Raw genomic sequence first — 23,227 nt, 5'->3', positions numbered from 1 at the left:
ACAAACAAAAAACCATCAGATCTCATGAGAACTCACTATTATGAGAACAGCATGGGGGAAACTGTCCCCTGATCCAATCACCTCCCCCCAGGTCTCTCCCCTGACACATGGGGATTACAATTTGAGATGAGATTTGGGTGGGGACACAAAGCCAAACCATATCAATACATATACATATATATGTCATAATTTAAAATAACTTTAGATTCAAAAAATAGTTGCAGAGATAGAGTTCCTGTGTAACAACGGTTCTGAACCTGGGGCAATTTGTGCCCTTTCCCCACCCCAGAACATTTGGAACTATACAGAGGTACTTACTGTTGGGTTCACTATTTGGCCAGGTAGGGGGCTATGGTGAAAGGGATGTACTGCTGGCATGTGCAGGCCAGGGATGCTGGTAAACTTCCTACAAAGCATAGGATGGTTCCCTCAGCAATGAGGTGGCCCCAAATGTTGAGGTTGTGAAAGCCTGCTCTGGCCCCTTCACCCAGTTCCCCTAATGCTATTATTATACCTAACCAGGATGCATCCATTACAATAGGCGATTAGATCTCCTTCTCCTTAGTCTTCCCAACTCTGTGTTTCTCAGTCTTTCCTTGTTTTTCATGACCTTGGTGCTTCTGAAGAGGGTTGACTGGGTATTTTGTAAAAGTTCTCAACGGGATATTATCTGCTGTTTTCTCATAATTTAGCCAGAACACAGTGATTATTGGAGAAGAAAATGAGGTGAAGTGCCCTTCTCAGCATATGGTGTCAGGGTCCCTGATATGCACATGACATCACTGTTAAGTTCACCTTGATCCCTTGGATCACGTGGTGCCTGTCAAGTTTCCCTTTCCAAACTGTAACTGTCAGAAGGGAATCTCTAAACCCTTATACTTAGGGGAGGAGACCTAAGCTTCACTTCTGGAGGGAGGAGTGTCAAGCAATTTATGGACTTGTGTTATCACACACTCACTATTATATTTTAATACAACTGACAGCTCAGATGTGTCTTGTGGAAAGCAGCTTTGGGGTTAACGCCCACAAAAAGCTACGTCAAATGAGCAAGACAGCATTTCAAAGAACTAATTATTGTGTAAACTCTAAAACTATACAAAGAATAAAATTTCTAAAAGTGAAATAATTCACAAGAAGAAAGTAATATGAAAAAAATAAGAAAGTAATATGAAGCCCAAATAAATGAATGAATAATTACCAGCCCTTGCTGAATAACTATAGATGGTTGTTAGAAAATTTTTGGCAAGAAGCAGGCAAGTGGAGTGTGAAAATAAATGTCAAAGATTTAGAAGTCTTTCTTGCCTCAGCATCCAGAAATGTTGAGGGGTTGTTTTGGAGCTATATCCATGACTGGAGAGTGCTATGGTATTTAGAGGGTGGGGATTAATTATGTGGGACTGTCCTGAGCCTTAGACAAATAATTAATGTTGTCTAAGGCTCAGGACAGTCCTACATAACAAGGAGTACCCCACCCAAAATGCCAAAAGTGTCACCATTGATGCACACAGAACCCAAGCCCCTTCTTGTACCTCATTCACATTGCAATGCCTTGTCAATCACAGAGATGGGGGAGTGGAAAATTTCAGACTAAAAGCTAGATTTTTAGAGCTTCAGTCCAGGACTTTTTGTGTGTAACCAAAACTGTCTCCATTGAAAATGTAAGGTTTAATATTTTCAGCAACAATTTAAATCTTATGGGAATCTTTATTTCTAAGTAGATAAAGTATCTTCATTTTATTTGTGTGGTACTCTATTAAAGTATGAGTTGCCACCAAAGAAAACACTGAAATATTTGATGAACTTGCATACATAGTAAGAGTGTCATTCCATGGTAATTGGGACAAGGAGAGTATGTGGGGCCCCAGTTGGGTTGAGAGTTTAATGCAACCCTCCCTATTTTTCTTTATAGCACTTGCCTTCCTGCCCTCCACCAGCATGCAGTGTATGCATTTACTTACTTGTTTATCGTCTGTCTCCAACCCCTTAGACAGCAAGCTCCATGAGAAGGGAATTTGCTTTAGTTTATGGCTATATTCTATGACTCTCTAAAGGGGAATACCATGTGATTCATGTTTGAACAGTATTTAAAGAGGCTTTAGATAAAAATAACAATATGGGTAAGGTATCCAAATTACCTCCTACCTGGTTTCTGGCCTCCTCTATCATGCCAGAAATAATCTTATATTTTTTATATAATTTATATGATGAAATCTTTATATTAAACTTAATATAGAATATATTACATATTAAGATTTCAAAATACCTCAATTTTATGAATATTTTAATTCATATATAATGAACAATTGCTATATAAGTATATAAATAAAATATAAATATGAATTAAATTATAAGCACTATATTATGTAATAAAATATATTATTTGAATAAATGGCATTGTGCTACACAAAATACTTCCAATCTTTTTCATTTGAAAGTACTTTTGAGATTTATCCTTTTTTTAAAAAAAAAGTAGCTCTTAGCTCAGTGGTTGCCATCAGCGGGTGACTTTGTCCTTCAGGGGATATTTGGCAACTCCTGGAGCCGTTTTTGTTTGTTTGGTTGTTGTTTTTTTTCTTGAGACGGAGTCTCACTCTGTCACCCAGGCTGGAGTGCAGTGGCACAATTTCAGCTGACTGCAACCTCCGCCTCCCGGGTTCAAGTGATTTTCGTGCCTCAGCCTCTTGAGTAGCTGGGATTACAGGCATGTGCCACCACACCCGGCTAATTTTTGTATTTTTAGTAGAGACAGGGTTTCACCATGTTACCCAGGCTGGTCTCCAAGTCCTGGCCTCAAGTGATCCACCTGCCTTGGCCTCACAAATTGCGGGGATTATAGGCCTGGAGCCATTTTTGATTGTCACAACTGCTGGTAGTCCTAAGGGTATCTGGTAGACAGATGCCAGGTTTGCTCTTAAACATCCTACAATACACAGAGTATTCTCACACAGAGTTATCTAGCCTGGTTCTACTGATGTTGAGAAACCCTGCGCTATTTCTTTCCTGTTTTTTTTTTATTTTATATTTTTTTTTATTTGAGTCTTGTTCTGCCACCCAGGCTGGAGTACAGTGGCGTGATCTCAGCTCACTGCAACCTCTGCCGCCGAGACTCAAGCAATTCTCCTATCTCAGCCTCCTGAGAAGCTGGGACTACAGGCGCGCAACACCAAGACCCGGCTAATTTTTGTATTTTTTGTGGAGACAGGATTTCGCCATGTTGTCCAAGCTGGTCTCAAACTTCTAAACTCAAAGTGACCTGCCTGCCTCAGCTTCCCAAAGGGCTGGGATTACAGTCGTGAGCCACTGCTCCTGGCTTCTTTCCTTTAATCTGTGGAACAGTATTCCCTCGACAGCATATACTATATTTACTTTAGTCCCGTACTGATAAACATTTGGGTTGTTCCAATTCTCTGCTATGGTGACGAGTGCCGCAAAGAACATCCTCACCAGTGTCTGTGTATGTGTGCCACAGGGTTTCTGGTAGCTGCGTTTTCTGTTCTGGGAATCACTTCCAAATGCCATTCCAGAGTGGCTGGACTCCTTGCTTCCACAGCGTCACCTGGGATTCCAATTCCATGCGTCTTTACCAGCCCTTGGTATTATTTAACTTTTAAATTGTTGCCAATTTGAAACGTTTAAAATAGTAGCTCATTTGTAACAATTTTGCATTTCCTGATTGCTAGTAAGACCAGACCACAGGAATCATTCACACCCCAAGCATTCTAGAAAACTGGTGAAAATGTTTTCTGTCCAGCATGCGCCACTTCATTTGGTTTGTCCCTACGTCTTTGATATGTATTAGAAAACCGCACATTTTGGGGGACTAGGCTTGCCTGTTTCTGCCAGTAGAGGTCACTGTTCCTCAGTGGTTCTCCACCAGTATGACTTTTGACCTCTCTACCCTCCCAGGGAGTATTTGGCAACGCCTGGAGCCATTTTTGATAGGACTGTGAGTGTGCTGCTGGCACCTAGAAGTGAGAGGCCAGGGATGTTGCTAAGGCCCTGCAATGCACAAGACAGCTTCCCGCTCCTCCCTCCCCCTTCCCCTCCCCCCTCCCCCCCCCCACCAAGAAAGAACCATCTGGCCCAAGTAGTAGTGCCAAGCTGGAGAAACCATGGTGTCGTCTTTGAAAGAAAGAATATGACAATCTCTATGATAATAAAGACACCTATTATTATTAACAACAAATATTTTATTGTGGAAACTGGGGAGAAGCATGCCTCCTGTCCCCAGGGAGAAGGCAGGAGCGAATGGGCAAGGGCAAGGGAAGGGCTTTAAGGGAGAGGAGAGGTGGGCCTGGGGCTCGCTGAGTGGTCGGCTGGAGCAGTGGGAAGTGCCCCGGTGGGGCCGGTGGCTGGTGTGGGGGTAGAACCGCGGTCAGTAGGGTGAAGGTGCTGAGGGCTGGAGGCTCAGGAGGTGGTGGCAGGGGCCTGACTCTTGGAGCCGGGCAGCAGGCTGGGTGTGCTCAGAGGCTCATGGCCCACCTGGCGAAGCTCCTTCCAGGTGCAGGCAAGCCTGAGGCGTCAGGGCAGCAGGCGGCCGCCAGGAAGGATTCAGACAACTCTGCCTGGGAGTGAGGGCTCTGCTCAGCGGCCTAGACCTGGGCACAACGGAACAGGCCACTCCGTTTCTCATCACAGACCTGAAGGCAGATGGCCTGGGCGTCGGGCTTCCTCTGCTCTCTGGCGGGGCGATTTTCACGGTCACCAGGCTGCGGACAGGCTGTGGGGGTGGCGGGCGGTCCAAAGCCACCGCTTCACGTAGGCCAGGGGAGCCTTGGAGAAATCAGGCCTGATGTTGCTCAGCAGCGGCAGCCTGTTGGGAAAGCACCTCCAGGCCTCGGGGACCATCTCTCTCAGGACGCGGATGCGGGCGGGGACCATCTCTCTCTGGATGCAGATGCGGGTGTAGTCCCAGCTGGGAGGAGTGGTGCGGAGGGGCCGGATGCGGACCCAGTGCTTCCTGTGGAAGTAGGTGACCTTGCAGTTCTCCTGGACCTGGGAGCTGAGGAAGGGCCTGGACTGCAGAACCCAGTGCTTTTGGGCGGGGCGCAGCTTTCTGGCAAGCGGCTTGGGCCTTCCAGTAGACACTGGGCTGCCAGAAGTTTCCGAAATCTGCGGTCAAGGCCAGAGATCAAATGTCAGGGCTCAGTGACTAGCGACGGTTAGCATCAAAATGTTGGAAAGTGCACAAGGCGCCGTGTGCCAGGTACGGTCTGTCCACCAACTGTTGCATGGGGCAGGAGGCCACGGCCAGGCCACAGCTTTGCCGCGCGCAGCTGCAGAAGGGGCAAGTGGCGCCCCATGCTGTCTGGAGGACCAAGGAGGCTCAAGCCTCAGTCCTTCCCACTCATGGTCCCAGACACTTAGCTCTGGGCAGAGGGGCCTGGCAGCTGTCTCTGCTTTTGTACCTGACCTTTAAAGGCAGAACATAGAAGAATTTCTGCCAGGTCCTGAAAACTGCAGATACCTGTTGACAGAAGGGTGCTCTCTTTGATCAGTGTGAAAATGATCACAATACACTTGGAGGCTCTTTTAAGGAAAAACAAATCATTTGCTCATATTCGTCTAGGATGACTGTTAATATCACTTTTTGCAATTTTGCTCTTAAGAAAACGGTGAAAGCCATCAGGATTTATGTTTTAGTACCTGTAATGCTGATTTTATGTTGACCCTCATAATTTTCAGTGTTCATACAGCCATATATACATAATCTTCTCTAAACACTAATGCCATTTCTGTCCTTTCATTTCTATTGGTAATCCTGGAGTAGAGTGAGGCACATTTTCCACTAATAGCTGAAAAGATCTAACTTCAAAAACAAAGAATCCAAAGGCTGCTTAGTAACTGTAGTGCCTAAGTTTAGAGTCTGTTCAAGGTGGTGTGAAAAGTTTTTTGGGGGGGGGGCATTTCCCTCAAAAGCACGTGGAGAAGGAACCTATTGACCCTCTGGAATGCCAGAATCGGGAAGAGACAAAAAAGTCGCAACCAATTGAAGATTGGGCAATAGATTTGGCCCAGACTGAGGCAGATGGGTGAATAGTAAAGACAATAAATAGAGCTTAATGAGGAAGCACCAAATGCTTTTTGAGGTCAGAGGGGGCCAAGTGTTTTGCAATGCAGGGTTGGGGTCAGCCAGTAGTTGCAGGGGAATGAGATCCCTAACACTCTCCTCTCACCAATGAATTCCTTTGGTTTTTTGCCTGATTCCTTATTTATGGAATCATCTCTGGGTATATGATTTTCAAAACCTAGAGATATTCCTATGGTATAATTCAGTATAATTTTCTTCTAAAGACAGTTCTCATAATGAGTGGAATGACTTTTTATTCATATCTAAGACATCTCAAGATAATGGCATCAGAGTAGGTATAGACTTTTTTTTTTTTTTTTTTTTTGAGATGGAGTTTCGCTCTTGTTGCCCAGGCTGTAGTGCAATGGCGTGATCTTGGCCCACTGCAACCTCCGCCTCCCGGGTTCAAGCAATTCTCCTGCCTCAGCCTCCCAAGTAGCTGGGATTACAGGCGCCCACCACCACGCCCAGCTAATTTTTTGTATTTTTAGTAGAGACGGGGTTTCACCATGTTGGCCAGGCTGGTCTTGAACTCCTGACATCAGGTGATCCGCCTGCCTCAGCCTCCCAAAGTGCTGCGGTTACAGGAATGAGCCACCGCACCCGGCCTAGACTTCTTATAATATATTTTTCTTTCCAATATCTATAGAATTTCCCATATCCTTTTTGCAATATAAGCCAGTGGTTGTTATTCTGTTTGTGGCTAAAGACTCTCTAACAAACCACAATTTTGTCCCGGTGAGGTACAGGCAGTCATAAGCGAATCATCACTAAATATGCCTTCTACTGGTTAATCAAGGTGTTGATTAGTTAAAAGCCATTCTCATAGACTTGAGAAGATGTCTGTTTCTTCTTCTCATACAACAAGAGGTACAGCATTTCATTGGTTAGTTGATATTAGGGATTAGTGTCTATCAGTGGTGTTCAACAAGGGGTGAGTTTGCAATTGACAGTGGAGAATGTCTGGAGACATTTTTGGTTGTCATGACCTGGGGAGGTGGTACTATAGGCACTCAGTGAGTCGAGGCCAGGGATGCAATTAAACATCCTGCAATGCACAGGACAGTCTCCACAACCAAGAATGATCTGCCCTCAATGTCAGTGGTGCTGAGGTTGAGACCTTTCATCCAGCTTCCTCTAATGTTATATAATCACGATGCATTCATCAAACTAAGAAATTAACATTGGGTTGATACTGTTAAGTGAACTCCAGACTTTAGATTGCCCAAGTGTCCTTTGTCTTCTCCAGAACCTACTCCTCCTTGGTCTCCTCCACTCTGGAGTTTTTCTGCCTTGTTTTTCATGACCTTGATGCTTTTGAAGACGGCTGGTGATGTATTTTGTAGAAGTCCTTTTTCAGTTTGGTTTTGTCTTTTCTCATGATTTAGATGAGGGAATACAAATTTTGGAGGAGGAATGCCATAGAGGTGACTGGTATTTAGGTTGTTTGCAAACAATGGTGCAAAGAATAACTATGTATATGTATTATTGTTTAGGTCTGCAGTTTATGTGTAGGATAAATTGCTGTTTGGTAAACTGCACTCTGATAGCTACTACAATAGTACCAACTTAGCATTGTATCTTCCTTTGATATTGTAATTAACTATTAGTAAAACAACATACTTTTTAGCCTATTATATCTTTATTCATGTGTCATTACCACCTACCAGTAACACATGAGGCTGCCCATGCTCCACACTTGTACCAGCACTGTGAGCAATACAATTTTGGGGTTTCTGCTAATCTGATATGTGAAAATTTGTATTTCAGTGTAGTTTCATCTTGTTTCGTCACTTTTTATAAGCAAGGCTGAAAATTTTTTCACATGGTATTGGGTTTCTTGTTTCCTTAACTGTAAGCTGTCTGTTTATACCATTTGCTGTTGATTATCTAAAAACTGATTTCTAGAAACTCTTTGTATATTAGGGCAATTAACTCTCTGTTTTGTTCACTATGATGTCTCAAACACCTAGAAGAGTAGCTGGCATATAGTAGGCATTGAATAAATAGTAGCTGAATGAGGGAACAGAGTTGCAAATGTTTTCCCTGTTTGTCATTTATCTTTTGTTTACGGTGATTTTCATCAGAAAGGATTTTAAAATTTTTGTATGTAGTCTAATTGCTAGTTGTTTTCTTGATTACTTCTGGGTTTTGATTTATAGTTAGAAAAGCTTCCTCCACTTGGATGTATGAAAGAATTTTCCTATGCTTATCCTCGTACTTCTATGGCATTTTTTTACCTTTAAAGTTTTGTTCCATCCAGAATATATTTTTGTCAGGATTGAACGATGGGTCCAACTTTTTCTCCTAAATGCCTGCTCAGTTGTCCCCCAATGCCATTTACTGGATTTATCTTTTCCTGCATTGAGCTGAGATCCTATCTTTACCATAAAGTAAATTCTCATGTATTTGGACATATTTCTGAACTATTTTCTTCCTTGATTTATCTTCCTATTCATGTGCTAGTATCATACTATTTAATTATTGTGGCTTTAAAGCCTTATGGGTCTAATCATTCCTTATTTTCCTCCTTTAGAATTTTTCCAGCTATTCATGCTTATCTGCTTTTCCACATGAACTCTAGAAGTACTATATCTAGTTTTAAAATTCTGTTGGTATTTTTATTAAAACCATATTAAATTTATGGAATCAACTTAAGGAGAACTGACATCAAAGGTGTCTTTATAATATCTTCCTATGTAAAAACAGGGTATGAATTTTATAAAGTCAAGTCTTCTGTGTCCCTCAGAAATGTTTTATAGCTTTCTTAACATTTTATGTTGTTTATTAACATTATTTTAGTTTCTATTATAAGTAGGTTTCCTTCTTCTGTTATGTCTTTTAACTAACTGTGAGTTATATATGCCAACGGAATTGATTTCTATAAATTGACATGGTACTCCACTAATTGCTGAATTATCTTTGTAGGAGTTTTTAGTGTTTCTCTAATGTTCTTTATGTTTTTTGGCCTAACTTTATTGGCTCCTGCCAGAGGTTAATTCAATTAAATTTAATATTTAGTATGCTAATAACCATGGAGTTAATGATATCCTTTCCACATTAAACATACTATTTATTTTTGAGCTGAGATAAATCTACTTCATCCAGTTAGGGAATTCTTCATTTCTGTTTTATTAAAAAAATTTTTAAAGGGATGGTGGGTTTTGTCTAACGTATTTTAGGAAATCCATGGAAATGATCATATAGATTTGTTGATGGGATGAAATCCATTAATTGTAAGTATATCATTCTTAGTACTGAACCATCTGTGGATTACTGGAATAAACCCTACCTGGACAAAGTATATATTTCTTCTAATGCACTGCTAGATTCTATTTCTACTATTTTATTTAGCTTTTTTTTCTGTTGTTACATATTTTTTAGAGATATTGGCCTATTGTTATATTTTGGGGGTAGGATGGTCTAATCTTTGATAGGTTTTGGTATCACTGTTATCCTGGCTGCATGAAAAAGAGGCTGGAAGCTTTTAGTCAATAAAAATCCAATATGAACAAGTAAACGCAGTTATTATTACAGTTTAGTTTATGAATTAAACAGGATTTTGTGTGCTGATGTAGTAACCACCACTTAGACTTAGTTTCTAAGAGAAAAATAAATCCCAAGTTTCAAACAACTGACTTACATGAAAATTTCTGGATGAATATTGTCGGAGTCTGTCTTTATCCTGAGATTCTATAGCAAAACTCCCTTAAGGATTTTAAAGGGTTTTGAATACACCCATTTCCAGCCTTCGTTTTTTTATTTAAAAGGGTCTTAATTTTCATAGAGAATCTACACAATGCATGTATAATAAAAACATATGTCACTGTCAAATATAGATGTAAAAAGCTTATGTTCTTCTATGTTTTAACTCTTCTCTCTAGCTAATTTGAAATATCTCTAAATTCATGTCCAAACTGAGATAAGACGTTGGTACACTTCAATAAAAATGTATAAGCATTACAAGATGTTAAAACTGATGCCACAGTCTGAGCCCAGCCTTGTTTTAAAAGGGGAGACGAGGATTTCCTTAGATGAAAATTGTGGAGAGAACGTACCTGATCATCATCAACCTCTACTGGCTGCTTCTTAATGATAAAGGTGATGGACTCAAGACAGGGCTGGACCAGGGAGATACTGGACCTACTTGGGTCCAGTAATCTAGACAGGTGGGCACCAGGCAGGAAGTGCCAAACGACCCAAATTCCATAACAGCGTCCTGGCCAAGAGACTGGGTCACTGAGTCATTATTTAGTAGTGAAAACCACTCAGGAATTGGACGCCGAGGTGACGGTTCTCAGGGAGTATCTGGAGATCAGCAGTGGTCCAGAGGAGCTCCAGGCCCTTCTGGGCAGCTACCTGAAGAATTGCTGCTTAGGATGGAATCATGCCCAGCCTTTGTTTCTAAAATTAACTGTGTATTTTTTATATTCTCCAGTGGGAAAACAGCCAAAACCATTTGATCTCTCAATTCTAGTGAGGTTCCAGCAGGTAGTCTCCTCTGAGTATTGCTGGGAGGTATTAGACAGTGGCCAGTGCATAAAGAAGGAGGCTTCACTTCTTCAAGGGAGACTGAGAATTTTCCTTTTAAAATGCAATGCAGAAAAACAACCCCATTAAAAAAGGGACAAAGGACATGAACAGACATTTCTCAGGACATACAAGTAGCCAACAAACATGAAAAATGCTCATCATCAGTAATCATCAGAAAAGTACAAATCAAAACCGCAACGAGATACCATCTTAAAACAGTCAGAATGGCTATTATTAAAAAGTCAAAAAACAACAGATGTTGGTGAGGCTGTGGCAAAAAGGGAATGCATATACACTGTTGGTGGGAATGTAAATTAGTTCAGCCACTATGGAAAGTAGTTTGTAGATTTCTCAAATAACTAAAAACAGAGCTACCATTTAATGCAGCAATACCATTACTGGATATAAACCCAAAGGAAAATAAATCATTTTGCCAAAAAGACACATGCACTCATATGTTCACTGTCACACTATTCACAATAGCAAAGACACAGAATCAACCTAGGTGCCCATCAGCGGCGGACTGGATAAAGAAAATGTAATATATACACTATGGAATACTACACAGCCATAAAAAATGAAATAATGTCCTTTGCAGCAACATGGATGCAGCTGGAAGCCATCATCCTAAGCGAATTAATGCAGGAACAGAAAACCAAATGCTGCATGTTCTTGAGAGAACTAAACATTGAGCACACAGATATAAAGATGGGAACAATAGACACTGGGGGTTACTGGAGGGGGGAGAGGGTTAAAAAACTACCCATTTGGTACTGTGCTCATTACCTGAGTGATGGAATCTGTACCCCAAACCTCACCATCATGCAACATACTTATGTAACAAACTTGCACATGGTACCCCCTGTATCTAAAATAAAAGTTGATAGAAACAAACAAAAAATGAAATGCAGATCAGGAGGAGCCAGAAACCTGGACTAAAAGGGGAGAGAGGAAAAAAGAGGGAAATGGAGAGGAAAGCAGGGGGAAAGAGGTGGGGACCAGAAGGATACAGTGGGGGATGAAAGGGAGAAGGAGACAATATATGGGCCTCCAGAGCACAGCCCTTTGAGATTCTGAATATAGAAGAAATAATCTTGGGGGGCTGGACAAAGGCATCCAACCTGAAGGATGTGGGTCATTGTTCTTTCCAGCTGGACAAGGCAAGTTTCTGTAGAACTGCGCTCTGCTCCCTGCCTGTGGGATGGCAGCTACAGAACAGAAGGCTGCTCTGGGTGTGTTCACAAGGACTTAGAAGGAGCCGGTGTCAGGAACAGAGGAGGGGACAGCAATATGTTCCTGAGTCCCCAAGTCCTCAGCGGCACTGCAGCAAAACCAGAAAGCTCACTGGCCCACCCACATGATCACTTCTGTCCCCTGCAATGTGACCCAGGGCCAGGGTCATTCATAAATTACAGGTCTCCTTCTAAGGCAGTGTTGAAAGAGAACTGGAATACAGTTCACCTACTTAAACTTCCCAATTCAAAGTGCCTTGGTAATGTCTCCACTCTTGAGATTGAAACACAAAATATATTTCAGGCAATTTAGGAAAAATACTACCCCACACTTAGTTGATGGCATGGAATCCACCAATTTCTATAGCTCTTTATGATGTTTGCCTAGCTAAAGAACAACAAATGAGAAAACATTAAAAACAACGGACATCTCACTGTAGAATTGGAATGAAATATGAATTAAAAATGACCATCTGGTGATTACCTAAAAGCAAATCACAGTCTGAAACCACTTAAACTGGCAATTTAGAATGTTATAAACATCACCGAACTAAACTGGACACAGAACACATGAGCAGGCTGTCTGACGTTGTGCCTGCAGTCCACAGGGAAAGGTGCTCCTGCTCCACTCACCTCCCCGGGCCTTCCTAAGCCTTGGCCCACAGGGACCCTGGAGGCTGAAGCTCTTCAAACAGGTTACAGCACATGAAGGCCAGGCTTTCGGCGCAGGCCCCTAAGTCCTCAAGGGCATGTTCCAGGAGACTCAGTACATAAAGCACGTTTTCTATTAATAGCTTTTGTATTTAATGCTTTGATATCTGGGGACTTGTTGACACCACAAGCACTGTCCCTCCCAAGGCTGGCTAATTCCCAGAGAGAACAGACAACTGCAAGAGCACCTTTCATATGCAATCCAGAGCTTACAGCCCCACCATCTCCTTTATCAGGCTCTTAGACTGGGGCCACTGTTCTCCTGCACCAATCACTCCACGGTCAGGTATCAGCCAAGTGGGGACAGCCCCCTAGGCCCCAGAACACTCTGAAATTATTCAAACTAGCCAATCCCAAGCCTGCTTACCCTGCCTCGCCTGTTCCTTCCCACTGAAACCACAATAAAAGCTCTTGCCCGCATTTTCCCCTCACATTCTCTGCCTCTTGACCAACCCTGGTGCTTCCTCATGTGGCTCTGCACAGTGTGCCATGCCTCCAGCTTCTAGGGATCTGGAAACAGGATCAACTTCTTCCTTCATGACAGTCATTCCCATGTCTGCATGTCTTACTGTACCCGACTAAAACAAATCCCAGGTACCCTTAAAACGCTCAGCCTCTAGTGCAGACTAAAGTTGGAAGCATGCAGGAAGCCTGTAGCTGCTGAACCTGCAAGAGCTCAGGGGCCCCATGAGAGTGTGGCCTATGGATTTTTAACCCCAGTCCTCCGTTAGCTAGCTGTGTGACCTAGCAAGAAAGCACTTAACCTCGCTGAGCTTCACTTTCTTCATCTGAAAAATGGAGACAATAATATTGCCGAATTCTTAGAAAGATAAACTAAGCACTTGGCAAATATGGAGTCACTTAGCACTCATGAATATTAGTTCCCTTCAAGATTTCCTAGTTATTTGCCTTTATCTTTCTATTCTGCTTAAAATACATTCTTCCGTTTAAAATGTATTCTTTTTTTTTAAATTTTTTGAGACAGAGTCTCACTCTGTCACCCAGGCTGGAGTGCAGTGGCGCGATCTCAGCTCACTGCAGCTCCTGCCTCCCGGGTTCAAGTGATCCTCTTGCCTCAGCCTCCCGAGTAGCTGGGGCTACAGGTGCCCGCCACCACACCCAGCTAATTTTTATATTTTCAGTAGAGACGGGGTTTCACCATGTTGGCCAGGCTGGTCTCGAACTCGTGGACTCAAGTAATCCGCCCGCCTCGGCCTCCCCAAAGTGCTGGGACAACAGGTGTGAGCCATCGCACCTGGCCTAAAATACATTAATCTTACATTTTAACTATTATTTATTTATTCGCCTTTATCCTTTTATACCAATGCTTAAAAACAGAAGTATGATACAAGCCACAGAGGTAATTAATTTTCTAGTGACCACATTTAAAAAGTAAAAATAGATGAAATCCTTTTTAATATTTTATTTTACCAAATATATTCAATATATTATCACTTCAAAATGTAATCAATACGAAAAGTTATTAATGAGATGGTTTATATTTTTTCCATACTAAGTTTTAAAAATCTGTTGTGTATTTTACACTTCAGCACATCTCAATTTGGATGCTACCTTTTTCATCAAAAATACTTGATCTATATTTAGATTTCAAAAAATTTATACTTGAAAACATATATATACATATCCAAATGGTTCCAAACATTCTTAAAAGTTTTTCTTTTTTTTTTTTTTTTTTTTTTGAGACAGTCTCGTTCTGTCGCCCAGGCTGGAGTGCAGTGGCACGATCCTGGCTTACTACAACCTCTGCCTCGTGGGCTCAAGCAATTCTTGTGCCTCAGCTTCCCAAGAAGCTGGGATTACAGGCGCCTGCCTTCACGCCCGGCCAATTTTTGTATTTTTAGTAGAGACAGGGTTTCGCCATGTTGGCCAGGCTGGCTTCGAACTCCTGGCCTTAAGTGATCTGCCTGCCTCGGCCTCCCAAAGGGCTGGGATTACAGGCGTGAGCCACCACGCCCAACCCAAAAGTTTTTCAATAACTGAATTGAATATCAGTTTTTTAATTGAAATTTAAGTGAATTAGAAGTAAATTAAATCTTCATTTCCTAAGTTACACCAGCCACATTTCAAGTGCCCAACTGTCACGTGTGGCTTGTGACCACTCTATTGGATGGCACGGTTTCATGCCATTTAAAATATATCCTTAACAATCACTATTTATCTTACCAGTGTAGGGATCCCAATATTCTTAAAGTAAATAACAATATTATACTGTTCTATCTTTTCATCCTAGAATACAACACGTCATTTAAAGTTGGTGAGATTTTTTACCTTTAAAAATACTCCTATCACAGCCAAACCATTTTCTTCCAGTGCTGCATCCTCAAAGTTTTCAAATTTGACTGCGTTCCAATGCACTAAGTGCAGCTGAAACACCATGAAAAGAGGGTTAACACGTGACTATACAGAATCTCTCCAGAATAAACCCACAGCCTCAGTCAACCTATGACATTTAAACATGTTTCCTCACCCAAAGTAAAGCCACCAAGAAAACCATATGACAATCCAAAATGAGATAGAAACAAAGATCAGGAAGAAATTTAGGCAAGGACAGCAATTAATATTTCTTTGGAATAAAAGGACTCGGGGAGAAAAATAAAATAAAATACATATAGCAAACTGAGTCGCATTTCAGTAAGGGATCAACATTTGCTCGTTCCCATTCTGCTTTGCATGAAATACTAACATCCAAAATCCATTTACATTTAAAGGAGAGAAAATGTTTATATTGAGAAAAGTAAGTTCTCCTTATAGGAATTAGACAAGAGTTGAAGACTGGCCGGGTGTGGTGGCTCACATCTGTAATGCCAAGACTTTGGGAGGCCAAGGTGGGTGGATCATTTGAGGTCAAGAGATTGAGATCAGCCCGGCCAACATGGTGAAACCCCGTCTCTACTAAAAAAAAATACAAAAATTAGCAGGTGTGGTGGTGGATGCCTGTAACCCCAGCTTCTCAGGAGGCTGAGGTGGAAGGATCGCTTGAACCCGGGAGGCGGAGGTTGAAGTGAGCCAAGATCGCGCCACCGTACGCCACTTAGGTGACAGAGAAAGACTCCGTCTCAAAGAAAAAAAAAAAAGAAAAAAAAGAGTTGAAGACACATTTCTTCTTTGAGAGATGACCATTTAAAATGTTCTTTTTATTGTTGATACAACATTTAAAACTAAATTGCTGCCAGGTGCGATGGCTCACATCAGCACTTTGGGAGGCTGGGGCAAGAGCATCACCTGAAGCCAGGAGTTCAAGCCCAGCCTCGGCAACACAGTGAGATCTCATCTCTACAAAAAATTTAAAAATGAGTTTGGCGTGGTGGTACATAATCGTGTAGTCCCTGCTACTTGGGAAGCTGAGGCGGAAGGATCACTTGGGCTCAGAAGTTCAAGGCTGCAGTGAGCTATGACTGCACCACTGCACACCAGCGTGGGTGACACAGTGAGAGCCTATTAAAAAAAAAAACAAAACCAATAAACCAAACAAACAAAACCTAAATTACAAAAAAGCTGTAAGAAGCAATTATATTTCCTTATGATTTCCCTATACTTTTGCTATGGTTTGGATATGGTCTGTTTGGTCCTGCCAGGTCTCATGTTGACACCTGCTCCCCAATGTTGGAGGTGGGGCTTCATGGGAGGTGTTTGGATCACGCGGGCAGATCCCTTATAAATAGCTTGGTGCCATTCGGGTGGAAGTGAGTTCTTACTCTTAGTTCCCAAGAGAACTGATTTGGGTTTTTTTTTTTTTGAGACAGGGTCTCACTCTGTCACGCAGGCTGGAGTACGGTGGCACAACTGTGACTCACTGCAGCCTTGACCTGCTAGGCTCAAGTGACACTCCCACCTCAGCCTCCCAAGTAGCTGGGACTACAGGCATGGGCCACCATACCTGGCCAATTGTTTTTTTTTTTAATTAAAATTTTTTTTTGTATAGACAAGGTCTCACTATATTGCCCAGGCTGGTCTCCAATTCCTGACCTCAAGCCATCCTCCCGCATTGGCCTCCCAAAGTGCTGGGATTACAGGTGTGAGCCATCACATTCAGCCACAGAACTGATTGTTGAAAAGAGCCTGGTACCTCCTCCTCTCCCTCTTACCATGTGATCTCTGCACGTTGGCTCCCCTTGGCCTTCCAACATGAGGGGAAACAGTTTGAGGCCCTCACCAGATGCAGATGTGAGCACCATGTTTCTTGTACAGCCTGTAGCACCATGAGCCAAGTAAACCTCTTTTCTTTATAAATTACACAGTTTCAGATATTCCTTTGCAGCAACACAAATGGATTAAGATAACTTCTCTACAAATCATTCCTTGTCCACCACTCATGAACTTATTTTCTGGCATCACCATTCCCCCAAGTCTCCTAAGTGAGACACCTCAAGGTCTTGGTTAACTTTGCTTTCTGTTCTCTGGAAGAGGATCTCACCTCCTAGTCCTGTTGCTTTTATTTCAGAAATGCTTTTTAAAAGTTGCTCATTTTCTATATTTCTATTGCCTTCATTTAATCTCTCACCATCTATCACTTGGATTAATCGCAACTTGTGGCCCTGCATTGTTGCCTGGGTTAATCTAAAAACATAAACTGCTAATTAAACGAAATCAAGCTATGCCACTCTCTTGTTTACAAATAACTAGTTTCTGATGAGCCTGCCCTCCATCTACCCTATTATGCTTTGATGATCACCACTCTCACTGCCTCTCCCCACAACACACATTCAACATTCTGGTCACATCATTTTGTTTTTTGGTCATTTCCTGAACATTCTATCAAATCTGCCTTTGCACGATTTTCCCTCAGTCTAGAATGCCCTTCTAATCCTCTTGGCAAACTTCCATACATCCTTTAATACCTAATATAAATGGCTCCTCCTTAGTGAAATCATCATAGACTCCTCTGAGTGGTCTGTATCACATGCCTTCCTCTGTGGTCCCATAGCACTTTCAGAAACATTTTTCAAATCACACTTGCTTTATAATTTTAATTTCGAGTATTCTTCCCTCACTAGACTTTGCCCTTTGGGTGGTTGAGAATTAGTACTCCTGGTACTTTGTGCAGTGCCTTGCACATAGTTGCCACTCAGAAAATGTTACAAACATAAATATATAAATGATAAAATACATACACGTTATCAGGTGACCCCAAATATAAAATGTGTTTTTCTTGCCTAATTATCCTTCTGCTCTGTATTGCAATCTTACATTTTAAAATGTAATTAAACATAATTACTATTTAATATAGAAGTTATCTGCAAAGTAAGCCAGCCAAGGAAAACTAGTACATATTCAACACATACACACACAGAAAATAGATTTCTGGCAAATCTTTCATTTCATTTCATGCCCTTTCTTCTATATCAATTACAAAATCTGTACATACAGATATATGTATTTGTTAATAGAAAATATTACCTATACTAGTAGAAGGAAACATCCATATAAAAGAGAAGGGAATTTTTCCATACACTGAAAAGTGAGTCCAGTGATCATCCAGAAAGCCCATTCAGGGCATATACCCAAAAGAACGGAAAACTGAGTCAAAAAGAGATATTTGTACACCCATGTTCATAGCAGCATTACTCACAAAAGCCAAAAGGTAAGGAATAGATAAACAAATGTGGTCTATCCATATAATGGAGTATCATTAAGCCTTAAAAGGGAAGGAAATTCTGACACATACTACAACATCGATGAACTCTGAGGACATTATACCAACTGAAATAAGCCAGTCACAAAAAGACAAATACTGTATGATTCCACTCATATGAGGTGCCTAGAGTAGTCCGATTCACAGAGACAGAAAGCAGAATACTGGCTGGGTATGGTGGCTCATGCCTGTAATCCCAGCACTTTGGGAGACCAAGGCGGGCAGATCACTTGAGGTCAGGAGTTCGAGACCAGCCTGGCCAACATGGTAAAACCCCCTCTCTACTAAAAATACAAAAGTTAGCTGGGCGTGGTGACGGGCACCTGTAATCCCAGGTACTCGGGAGGCTGAGGCAGGAGAATTGCTTGAACCTGGGAGGCAGAGGTTGCAGTGAGCCAAGACTGCCCCACTGTACTCCAGCCTGGGTGACAGAGCAAGAATCTGTTTCCAAAAAAAAGAAAAGAAAAGCAAGCAAGCAAGCAAGCCAAATACTGACTGCGAGAAGCTGGAGGGAGGGTGAATGGGGTGCTACTGTTTAATGGGTAAAGTTTCAGTTTTGCAAGATGAAAGGATTTCTGGAGATAGATGGTGGTGATGATTGTACACTAATGGAAATGTACTTAATATAATACTACTTGACTGTATTCTTAAAAATGGTTAAGATGATAAATTTCATATTATGTGTATTTCACCACAATTTTTTTTTAAATTCCAATGAGTTCCATGCCATTGCTCACAAAGAGGTCAATACTATCATGGAGAGAGTTTGATGTGTCCTCTGTTAACATGACACTGTTTCTTTAACTCCTTACAAGACCACCAGATCTTGCCCTCACCTGATTTATCTGTAGAATCTTCAAATTCCACGAGGAAAGAGTACCCATTATTCCAGACGTGGAGGCAGGTGGCTGGGTCATAAGAGATGGTCAGTGGTTTTAAGCCGGGATCATAAACACTGTCCCTCCACCGAATGTTGATGGGTGACTGGCGATCGCCCCCAGGAACCAGGTCCACGCTCTCCCAGAGTGGATGCACTAGGAGAAAGCAGGTCAGGCTATTATCAAGACTGTCTACTATCTAGCATCACACATGAGGCAATTCCACTTCTGGAGACCCTGTCAAGGCTAATGGGAACTAAGAGCTTTAGCAATTAGCCATTCAGGGCCTTAAGCAGCTGACTAAAGCAAAGGCTAAAGACAAGTCAGAAAGCACTGTGCAGAAAAACAGCATTCTGCCATCTTGAAAACCCAACTCGTCTCAGTCTGCCTACTAAGCTCACCTAAACCAAGTGCAATCAGTCCTGTGATAACAGTAAAATGCATGGAGATTAGCGCCATGTGGAAATAGGTATTCATAAATGAGTTTCTTTTCTTCTTTGAGAATTTCCCAAGCCCCAAGCCCCCAAACTAGCTCTAAATACAAAGACAAACTAATTCGATTTTCAATAACAGACTCATTTAAAAAAAAAAGAAAGAAATGGAAGAACTTTGAGAAAGGAAATGTTCAATCAAGTATTGTCAGTGTTTAACTGGTTGGCTGGTAGAAAAAAAGACTTGTGTAGCCTGCATCCCATAAGATGCTCGCCCCACATAACTGTGCGTGCTGAGTTGAGTTCACCTCCTATGTAAGCAAACTCTGAGGACCAGGCAGCCATCCTGCAAAACCTGGGTAGAACATCGGCATTGCTAAGGTCCCTGGAGGTTGCAGTGTGTCACAGGGATGTGGAGATTATCTATTAAGGTGTACACATACAATTCATCCTCCATAGGCACTGAAGACATTGCTGATGCTGATTTTCTTCCAGAGTCAAGCACCAGGTCTCTGTAGCAAGTCCCTGGTAAGTATCAGTAGACTTGCTGGTAACACAGATTGGCCTGTTGAGATCCCCATGTGTGATGAGCAGAACCAATGTATATCAGTTTGGGGTGGTCCATTTCCCTGTCCTTTAGAAGTACCATGGATGGGTAGAATCAAGGACAATAGGAAAACTAGGAGAAACATGAATTGAGAGAAATCATTACCAATGACCCTCTGCATCTTGCCCCACCACTAAGAATGGGTCGAAGGATTTGAGAAATAACTAGGCAGCTCCCACCCAGTCAAATCCCCCGAATATGGCAGGGACATCCTCTTGTTTCCATAAAAACCAGAAACTTGCTTCTGGTTTACTCTTACAGGGGCGACAGTTCTCCTGCTTCAGTAGCAGCCCAAAGATGGAAGTTTAAAATCTTAGCCTTGGCTTTATTTTTGTGTGGTGGTAGGCAAAAGTGTCCTGGCAGTATAGACACTGAGCTCTCTTGGGAGCATCCAGACCAGTGGTCTCAACAAGGAGAGTGACTACGGCCCCAGAGGACATTTGGTAATATCTAGAGACATTTTTCATTGTCACAACTGGAAGAGGGTGCTACTGCCATCTAGTGGATAGATGCCAGGGATGCTGCTAAATATTCTACGAAGCACAGGAGGAAGCCACCAGTGCAAAGCGTTATCCAGCCCCAAATGTCAATAGTGGCCCAGGTGAGAATCTCAGTCTGCAGAAACTCAGAATATTCTTCTTTTTTTTTCCTATTTCTTCCTATAACATAGTATTCTCTTATCTCTAAAGAGATTTAAACCTAATTTAAAAAATTAATTTCAACTTTAACTATAAAGGGTACACATGCAGGTTTGGTATATGGAGTGACACTGAGGCTTGGGGTCCCAACAGTCCTATCACCCCAGCCAGTGAGCATAATACCCAACAGGTTGAACCCAATGTTTTCATTTTTCTTAGTATGAAAGAATTCCTTATAATAGATTTACAACAGAAAACAGAAAAAATACAACAGAAAAAGAACAATAATTTTCTGTTAAATTTAGGAGCCAAAAATTAAAAATGCATTTGAACTGGCACAATATTTCAATACTATAAATCTGATTGGAATGCAGATTCCTTCTAGAAAGCCCTTGAAAGGCCCTGATTATATTTTAAAAGATTCCTGACACAAAGAGACTACGCACCTTCCCCTCAGACACTCAGACTGTGGTTGATAATGTGAGAATTCACATTCTTCAAAGCCATTCAATCAGGGTCTACCATGAAGACTAGGGAAGAACTGGAGTGACGATCAGCTCCCTAAGACGATGCCTTGGTCATCCTTAATTGTTCCCCATCTCATTCATGAAATGGGAAGTATCAACACTCAGACTCATGCAAATACCAGCCCAAGAAAACTGAGCCTGTTCCTTCAATTGCTCTTTAATGACCATAATGACACGATCAGTTTATGCCCTTGAGTTTACAAGTTCAGCTTCCAGAAGGTTTCTTTCCTCCTACCCACCTCCTCCTTTTTAAACAAAGACCATCTAGGCTAGACCATCCAACCCACTGTGGGGAGAGGTGGTCCTTGGTCATTATCCCCCTATTGAAGCCAACTTTTTGCCAAGGGCTTGTTTTGCTAATGATAAATTCACACTTTTCTTTTCCTCTTCCCTCCCCTTCTACCATTTTAACAAAATACAGATAGAAATGATTTCTTGGCAGTTCTCATACTTTCCCTCAAAACAGGAAGGTGACCACGAAGCATTCTGAGAGGCTTCATTTTCAGGTTTTTCTTATATGTAGAAAGTGAAGAGATTGTGACTATTTCAATCACAGTTTAAATGAGTGAAGGGCACACTGTCATTAAAAAGGTGTCAATAATCTGTCACTGATGAGCAAGAAAACTCCTTTAGATTTCATGGTGAGGATGCACTTGGTCTTAATTCTTATTTATATGCCTAGTCCTGCGTTTGATTTATTTTATGCTTGCACCACCTATTTCTCTAGCCTCCTTGTATGTCCCTGGGCTCTTCAAATGTAGAAAGCTCATTTCTGCCTCAAGCCCCTCGGTTCCTGATTCTTCTCCTCTGCTGGAATCATTCCCCTCATTCCACTTGGCACTGGCTCCTGTTATTGCCTTAATTGTCACCTCCTCTCCTCTTTGACTACCCTCCTATAACATGATCCCCTTGAATTTTTAATCACAGCATTCTGGTTTTGTCCTTCACAACATTATTACATGGGTATAGTTATAATTATATGCACACGCACTTAGTTATCGGCCTCCCCCACTGCTCTGCAAGCAAGCTGGCTTTCAACAACTACGGTGGATCAAATGAATCAGATGAAGTATATCACCGAAGAAGTTTGCTTCTTTTTGCTTTATTTCCCATTACCCCCACTGATCACATTATTTTTCTTTAACAATCGTTCAGGTTTAGCTCTTCCTCGCCTTGCCCAGACCACTAGCCTAGTTCTGAACTCTACGCCATGGACTTCACACAAAGCCTCTTGGTCATTTGTCCTCTTTTCTCACTTCCCTTTACCCCCTGAGTTCAGCCACTCAGTTTTCCCAAATTACCGGCTTTGTCAGGGTGCTCCTGTGCTAAAGACAGTACATCAAGTGGAAACTTCTGTGTCCAAGTGCCTGTGTTTTTCTAGTAGAACCCTCCTCACTTATCTAACCATTCTCCTCATTCTTTCCAAACGCTGGTGTTTCCATGCTGCCCCCGTGGTCAATCCTAAATGAGTGGTGCTGTAAATGTAAAACACCCAACAGGCTTTGAAGACTTGGTGCAAGGTAAACAATGTAAACTCGGTAATAACTGTTATATGGATCACATGTTAAAGTGATAATATCCTGGATATACTGGGTTAAATAAAATGTTACTAAAATTAATTTCACCTGTTTTCTTTTCCCCTTTTCTAATGTGACTATTAGAAAACTGAGAATTACATATGTGGCTCAATTATATGTCTATAGGACAATGTTGCCCTATACCCTCATGTGCTTTTTATCTGGTCCCTTGCTATGTACCACCCTTTTTACGAGGGATGTGCTGTTTCCTCATGTTACTGAAGACCATCTGTGTAGGCCTTGGCCTTAGTGCAGTGATGGGTGTATACACAGGGACCCTCTGTATGACTTGGCTGAGGATAATCGCAGGATCACAAATTGCCTTGTTAGAGCATCAGGGCTCTAAAAGGCACTTGGATGCTGAGTCCAT

General features: G+C 41.9%; 1 long non-coding RNA gene and 1 pseudogene across 6 annotated transcripts in view, besides 1 other annotated feature; both read right to left on the bottom strand.

Annotated features, from left to right (window-relative positions):
• The window catches only part of CA5BP1-CA5B (CA5BP1-CA5B readthrough), a 112,954-nt gene that overhangs the window by 80,518 nt on the left and 9,209 nt on the right, over positions 1 to 23,227 (bottom strand). For both annotated transcript variants that reach the window (NR_160544.1, NR_160545.1), the window contains exons 2-3: positions 19,036 to 19,233; positions 14,836 to 14,931 (exon numbers count right to left, since the gene is read on the bottom strand). This is a non-coding gene — a long non-coding RNA (CA5BP1-CA5B readthrough). The remainder of the gene's footprint in view (positions 1 to 14,835; positions 14,932 to 19,035; positions 19,234 to 23,227) is intronic.
• CA5BP1 (carbonic anhydrase 5B pseudogene 1) overlaps positions 4,173 to 23,227 on the bottom strand; it is a 28,806-nt pseudogene continuing 9,751 nt past the window's right edge. For 3 of the 4 annotated variants that reach the window (NR_160541.1, NR_160543.1, NR_160542.1), the window contains exons 2-4: positions 19,036 to 19,233; positions 14,836 to 14,931; positions 9,812 to 10,654 (exon numbers count right to left, since the gene is read on the bottom strand). The product of NR_160541.1 is annotated as a carbonic anhydrase 5B pseudogene 1, transcript variant 2 (transcript). Of the gene's footprint in view, positions 5,113 to 9,811; positions 10,655 to 14,835; positions 14,932 to 19,035; positions 19,234 to 23,227 lie in introns of those variants that run through there. The other variant, NR_026551.2, reaches the window with a different exon arrangement.
• Positions 12,406 to 12,948: an enhancer, noted in NCBI's record as "NANOG hESC enhancer chrX:15713069-15713611 (GRCh37/hg19 assembly coordinates)". NCBI's record gives its function as "activates a minimal SCP1, AML or CMV promoter by ChIP-STARR-seq in primed H9 embryonic stem cells {active_cell/tissue: H9 hESC(primed)}" and the evidence as "EXISTENCE:reporter gene assay evidence [ECO:0000049][PMID:30033119]".

The sequence above is a fragment of the Homo sapiens genome, chromosome X (assembly GCF_000001405.40).
Source record: "Homo sapiens chromosome X, GRCh38.p14 Primary Assembly".
Taxonomy (NCBI): domain Eukaryota; kingdom Metazoa; phylum Chordata; class Mammalia; order Primates; family Hominidae; genus Homo; species Homo sapiens.
This window is presented reverse-complemented; position numbering and strand designations above follow the sequence as displayed.